This window comes from Homo sapiens, chromosome X (genome assembly GCF_000001405.40).
Source record: "Homo sapiens chromosome X, GRCh38.p14 Primary Assembly".
Classification (NCBI taxonomy): Eukaryota; Metazoa; Chordata; class Mammalia; order Primates; family Hominidae; genus Homo; species Homo sapiens.
The window spans coordinates 133,983,395-133,989,559 of NC_000023.11; the positions used below are offsets into that span (position 1 = coordinate 133,983,395).

Sequence of the window (6,165 nt, forward strand, 5' to 3'; positions counted from 1 at the left end):
GCCAAATCTCATACACACAGCGTGTGGGCCCTCCCAATACTTTTATACAGATGCTGCAAAGAGGCAGGCAGCCAGAGAGCTGGGGGAGAGCAAGGGAGGGCGAGTGCCTGCAGGAGTGTGTGTGTAGAGGGGGGTTGCTAAATGACTATCTGTGCTTTCTTCTGGCCTTTTTCTTCTTTTGGGCACCACCTTTACCTCCTGGCTTCGAATCAGCCAAATGTGGCCCCAACCCCAACCCTGGACCCATTCATCTTGTGGGTGCTCAGCCTGTGAGGACCAATTTTTACATTACCAACAAAAGCATGTTCTCTAGCCTTAACAATCTAATTACCATGGCACTTCCAGGGGAGAGAGATTGGCCAGTTGTTTCAGTTCTGTGGAACTGATTCATAGGTTGCCCCTTACAGCTCCTGCACATGCCCACGTGGTACATTATTAACACTTAACAGGGGATGAGGTAGTTCGACCCTCCCTTAGAGCGAAATCCTGCAAAGCAATATTTAACATATGCGCAAATGCATTTCAGTCACCAAAAAGGGTGACCAATTACCTTTGCAACTAAACAGCAGGCTCACTCGGCTCTTTTCATCAACCTAAAGAAAAGGCTGAGGGCGCGCTGGCTGCCTAGGTAACCTCCTACCAGTGAACCCTGGCTGGCAGCGCCCACGGGGTGCGCATCCGCATTCACAACTTGGTCCAACCATCGGGCCCGCCTCCATGACTTGTTGAGAGCCACCAGCCAAGTTTTGGCTAGGGCTGCTCCCCGATCCCTCGGAAGCGCGGGACGCGCGCCTCACTGGATGCCTGAGTTGAGAAGAGACCCTGGAGGCCACAAACGTCTCACGGTTACGGAATACAACTGGCCGTTTCTTCTCAGTGCACCCCTGACAAATTAACCTGTTTGAAACCGACTCTTCTTGTCCGCATTGTCAGTGTAGCAATTTGGTCTAATTGGATTCTAAGGCGGGCGTTAGGAGCCCAACCGCTGGACAGTCAATCACGCAGGGCCATTAATATTCATCTGTTGACAGCGGCAGCCCTCGGCTGATGTTAAAATACGTCGTTACGGCACGATCTGATTGTGCAGAACAAAAGGCAGGCGTTCAGAAACTTTCCTCCACCTGAAATCATCTCCCCTTTAGGATCCAGCCTGTCAAGAAGGCAGATGAATTTGGGAGGGGGAGGAGTTAAATATCTTTGGACTCCTGCTCCCTGGGCCAGCAGCACCGGTTTTAAAGCGATTTCGCTAACCTATATAAGGGATGCTGTTTTGAAGGAAAAGGTTCAGTCTCCTCATTTTGGGGACCCTCTTACTCAAAAGTTTGCCTCAGTGTGTCTTCACCCGCCACTGCAGACTCAGAAATCTGTCCTCAACTTTGCTTGCACTTGGGCCCGTGAGCTTAGGAAACCCAGGCTGGGTAAAGGCGGCGGGGGGTGGGGGTACGTTGGGGAAGGGATGGCTGGAGCTGTGGTCCAGCTAAGGCTGAAATTCTGACACGTATGTGCGAGCAAGGATGGCAAATTCATGAGGCACCAGCTCGGCTGTGGGGCGCCAGTTCGCAGAGACCCGGGAAAATAGCTCCCACCTTCTCGCCCTTCCAAAAAACGGGCGCTCACGAGAAGGCGATCCCCACGGTTCCTCCCGCTCACACCTTCCCTGACAGCAGCGTGAGACTGGGGGATGTGGGCTCCGTCCACACACACCCTCTCTCCCTCCCTCAGTAGACCCAGCCAGGCCCCAGGCACACCGACCACTCCCAAGTGCCCAGCTGCAGGGCGCACGACTACAGCCCGGCGGGGCTAGCGCGCTCAGGGTACAGCCACCACGCGCGCCTTGCTCCCCGCTGGGCGCTAGGCACGCTCAAGGGACCCCTCCTCACCTGGCACGGGAGTTTCTGGCACCCACTTGAGTCCGGGCTGCAGTCTCTGGAAGAAGGAGCGGACTTGGTGACAGGTGGCGTCCGGCGGCGGCGGCGGGGGCTGCGCCTGTCCCGGGAAGTCCAAGCTGAGCAGCATCGCCACCACCAAGCACGCGGTGCGCACGGTCCCGGCCATCCTGCTTCGCAGGGAGCTAGGAGAGCGCGGGAGAGTGGCAGCCGGAGCGAGAGCAGTCCCAGGACTCGGCAAGCCTGGCAGTGGCCCTGAGGAGCAAGAGACGTGCTGCTACCCAGCCGCTGCAAAAGTTTCCTCGCAGCTACCTGGGCGCTGGGCGAGGGCGGGAACCGCTTGGCGGCGCGGGGCAGGGCGGGGCTGACTGGGGTGGGGCGGGGCGAGGAGGGACGGGGCGGGGCGAGGCGAGCCGCGCGGCCAGGGGGCGGTGGCGGTTGTGCGGCCGGTAGCCGGCGGGGTGCGGGGGCGCGGCGTGGAGCGCGGCGGGGGCCACTGGGGCACCGCGGCGCGGGGACCGGGCGAAGGCAGTGCGAGAGGAGGGTGCGGAGCCCGCGCGGTGGCTCCCGGCAGCCGAGCCCAGCTGCCCGCTCGCAGCCGCTCTACACAGGGCGCTCTGGCATAACTACTGCAGAGGGGCTGCAGGCTCGAGCGCGCTGATTGGCTTCCCAGCAGCCGTCCGCTCTGACTGGCTCTGGGAGAAGTTCCCCAGCCTCACTCCTCCTTCCCGCCGCTCATTGGCCTACAGCCTGGAGGGCTTTTCCCTTTAGGATTTTTGTCTCCTTTTCATCCTTCCTGGGGGCAGGTGGGGGTCCCTGACTTAGGTCCCCCTCCGCTTCGCCACAGGCCTTCTTTCAGCTTGTGCCAGCTCTTTCCTGGCCACCAGAGCCACACAAGGTGTTCCTTCACACAAAATCCACCTCCTCATTCTACTCTCTGAGGAGCTTCCCGGGAACCGTTTTCCTAACGCAGCTCTGACCGGGTTCTCAAAGCCAACCTGCAAATAGTCGCGTTCAGGGACAGCCAGGGACCGCTGGGCTTTTCACAGCCTGCCTCACCTTTGAATATTGTATCTTAAAAGTCTGAAAGCCTCTGTGGCTTGCTAGATTTGATTCAGTAGAGCCACACAAAGTCAGAGAAAGCACCTGATTCTGGGGCGTTAAAAGAAAATCTACTGCACGACAGTCCCAGGTGGCCCTTCAAGAGGCAAAGCCTAACTGGTTACAACGAAATAACCAGGGGCTTAAAGCCAGCCTAACTCATTAGAAAATCATTACACAGCAAATTTACTGAGCCAAAGCTAGCCTATTTCATAGATGGAGTAGAAGGCTATTTGAAAGGTATCCTACACCCAAATCCCACCTCTCCTGCTTAGATTTCACCATTAGAAATCCAGTTCTTTAGGCCAGGCACGGTGGCTCACGCCTGTAATCCCAGCACTTTGGGAAGCCGAGGCGGGTGGATCATGAGGTCAGGAGTTCAAGACCAGCCTGGCCAAGATGGTGAAACCCCGTCTCTACCAAAAATACAAAAAATTAGCTGGGCGCGGTGGCAGGCGCCTGTAATCCCAGCTACTCGGGAGGCTGAGGCAGGAGAATCACTTGAACTCAGAGGGCAGAGGTTGCAGTGAGCTGAGATCGCACTACTGCACTCCAGCTTGGGCGACAGAGTGAGACTCCGTCTCAAAAAAAAAAAAAAAAAGAAAAAAGAAAAAAAGAAATCCAGTTCTTTGAGAATGAAATATCTCTCCAAGGAAAAATGCATTTAGTCATTACCTATATGCTGCTAAGTAGGGATCTTTAGCGTGGATTATTTTCATGATCCTCCACACCCTAGTCCAGTAGAGAACTCAATAAGTATTTGTATGATGAAATTACTTAACACCTCAGCATGAATTAGTTTGTCATCTGATGGTTTTGTTTCCGACCTAGGTGAAAGTAGGTTTTGAGGGAGAACCTCAGCACCAGGAAATTGTCTGGGGTGTGCAAGGTCCGGAGAGAGGAGGTTGTGTTCCAGGACCCATGGGCTGAGAAGGGAGACAAAGAGAGAGGAAGGTCACGGGGGAAGTTCATTCATCCATTTATTCATTCGGTAACAAATATTTGAACTCCTACTGTGTTCCAGGCACTGTAGATTACAAACAGACAATGAGGATACAAAGATTAACCAACCCGTGGTACCTGACCTCAAAGAACTGCAAACTAATGGGGAAAACAACCAAGTTAACCCACTGTGTGAATGCTAAGATGAAGTTCTAAGGGGTGAAGGGGGGGGGGGATCGGAGAAAGCATGCCAGAGGAGATGATGTCCTAAACTCAGACCAGTAGGAGTTTAGGTGAGACAAGCAGATGGGGAGAAGGGTGCTGAGGCAAAGAAAGCAGTGTAAACAAAGACACTGAGGGGAGAGGGCTTGGCATGGCCCAGTTGGAAGGTGGGAGGTGCAAGTAATGATTTCAGGTTGCGGAGTTGGAAGAGCTAAGGTGACAGAGGTAAGCAAGGGCCAGATTATGCAGTCTTGAAGCCATATGGAGGAGCCTGGGGAACCACTTAAGGAAGTTTTCAGCACAGGGGGGTGCCATGATCATATTTGCCTGATTAAAAGATCTCTCCAGCAGCACTGTGGAGAATGGCTTGAAGAAGGAAAAAGACTGGAAGCAAGGAGACCAGTTAAGAGGCTGTGAAAATAATCCAGACAAGAAATGTTAAAGTCCTGTAGCAGAGAAGATTTGGAAATGGAAATAATTACTGGAGATATTTAGCATATAGAGTTAAAAGGGCATAGTGACCTAGTCGATATGGGGGATGGGAGAGAAGGAGTCAAGGACGGAGGGCTCATTCACTCTTTTTTCAACAAACATTTGAGTGCCGCCGATGTATCTGGCATTCTTCTCCTACTTCATAATTTTGCCTGGGGCTAGGCCTGCGCCTGCATTGAACATTTGACAAATGACATATCCACTTTAAAAGAAACACCAATTAAGAGTCATAATTTGGCTGGTGAGTTTGATATGTTCCACCTGTGGAGCCCTGTGACCAAAGGGCAGATTGGAAGGCAAGCATTGATTGAATTTCATGACCTTGCAGAGGAAGACATGACCTCCCATAAATTCATGATCTTCCAGAGCTCATGCAACTAACTACAAAGGCAACAGTTGTTTTCAACTACTGGGTATTGAGTACCTGGAAAAGGGGAAATGTGACTTATTTTTAATATATGCTTTTATATTTAATATACTTTGTATGAGCTAGGTCAGTGCTTCCCAAAGGGAAGCGTGTGAATCCCTGGGTTCACTGAAGTGGACCAATGAAGTTTTTGCTTTTCATTTTAATAAATATTTATTTTAATGGTGGATTAGAAAAAATATATGTAACTAGTACATCCAACCCATGATTTTGTTAGGACAAAACTAAGTAGCTGGTGCCATGATACATTTATTTCAATAAAAATGTGAACTGGTTTGAAGAAAAATATTTAATAGTAATGGGAATATGAAGATATAACAAAATGTGTAGGGCGATATGTGAATAACTAGGATTTGGGCTGTCATAGGCAAGCTGGCCCTGAGGTTTTGGAAAATATTTCTTTGGCCTAAAAGCTTCTGCTGTCCCTCCAAGCAGCTACTTCAGAGCTTTTAGCCAACCTAAGGTAGGAGTTAATAAAACTTGCTAGGTTTAAGGAGTGGTTCCATTTTTATAAGTGCCTCTCAAAGACTTTCTAACCTTCCAGTCCCTAAGCAATGACTCTAATAGCGGAATTTCAGGCACTGAAACTGACATTGAGGAAAGCTTGCAGGAAAGCTATGAGCAGCTGTCCGCCCTGCCTACCCAGTAACTTGGAATTTTACTGATGAAAATCCAGTTCCTTAACCAAAGCATACAATCTGTTACATTACATACTGTATACTGCCCAAATGGGCGACTGTGGATTAAGACTGGGTTTTCTTTTCCTCTTTTACATAAACAACTGTCTTAACTTTCAAGGCTCCCTTCCTTGTGTTAGAAGTAAGGCCAGTGATTCATCCTTACTCTTCATAGTAGAGACAAAGAGAAACAATCAGTCTAGAAACACAAAAGGATGTGCTGATTGAGCTAGTGTTCACTTTTGACAATTCATGATTCTGTGCTTTCAGGCCCGGTTGGAAGCATTTAGATAACACCGTTGGGCCCCATCTTTCTCTTTGGACCCCAGAGGAAGGCTACCTAGCACAGCAGGCCCAGAAGAACTTTTCTTCACCTTTCACTCCTAGTCTCCAGTTTGAAAGAATTCGAGAATTCCCA

The 6,165-nt window shown here is 50.9% G+C and overlaps 1 protein-coding gene across 5 annotated transcripts in view, besides 2 other annotated features; it reads right to left on the bottom strand.

Moving 5' to 3' along the window:
* The window catches only part of GPC3 (glypican 3), a 449,850-nt gene extending 447,650 nt beyond the window's left edge, over window positions 1–2,200 (bottom strand). For all 5 annotated transcript variants that reach the window (NM_001164619.2, NM_001164618.2, NM_004484.4 and 2 more), the window contains exon 1: window positions 1,881–2,200. In NM_001164619.2, coding sequence (NP_001158091.1) covers window positions 1,881–2,055 — 175 coding nt within the window. In that variant the 5' untranslated portion in view covers window positions 2,056–2,200. The remainder of the gene's footprint in view (window positions 1–1,880) is intronic.
* Window positions 1,351–1,905: an enhancer, noted in NCBI's record as "H3K27ac-H3K4me1 hESC enhancer chrX:133118772-133119326 (GRCh37/hg19 assembly coordinates)". NCBI's record gives its function as "activates a minimal SCP1, AML or CMV promoter by ChIP-STARR-seq in naive H9 embryonic stem cells {active_cell/tissue: H9 hESC(naive)}" and the evidence as "EXISTENCE:reporter gene assay evidence [ECO:0000049][PMID:30033119]".
* Window positions 1,906–2,460: an enhancer, noted in NCBI's record as "H3K27ac-H3K4me1 hESC enhancer chrX:133119327-133119881 (GRCh37/hg19 assembly coordinates)". NCBI's record gives its function as "activates a minimal SCP1, AML or CMV promoter by ChIP-STARR-seq in naive H9 embryonic stem cells {active_cell/tissue: H9 hESC(naive)}" and the evidence as "EXISTENCE:reporter gene assay evidence [ECO:0000049][PMID:30033119]".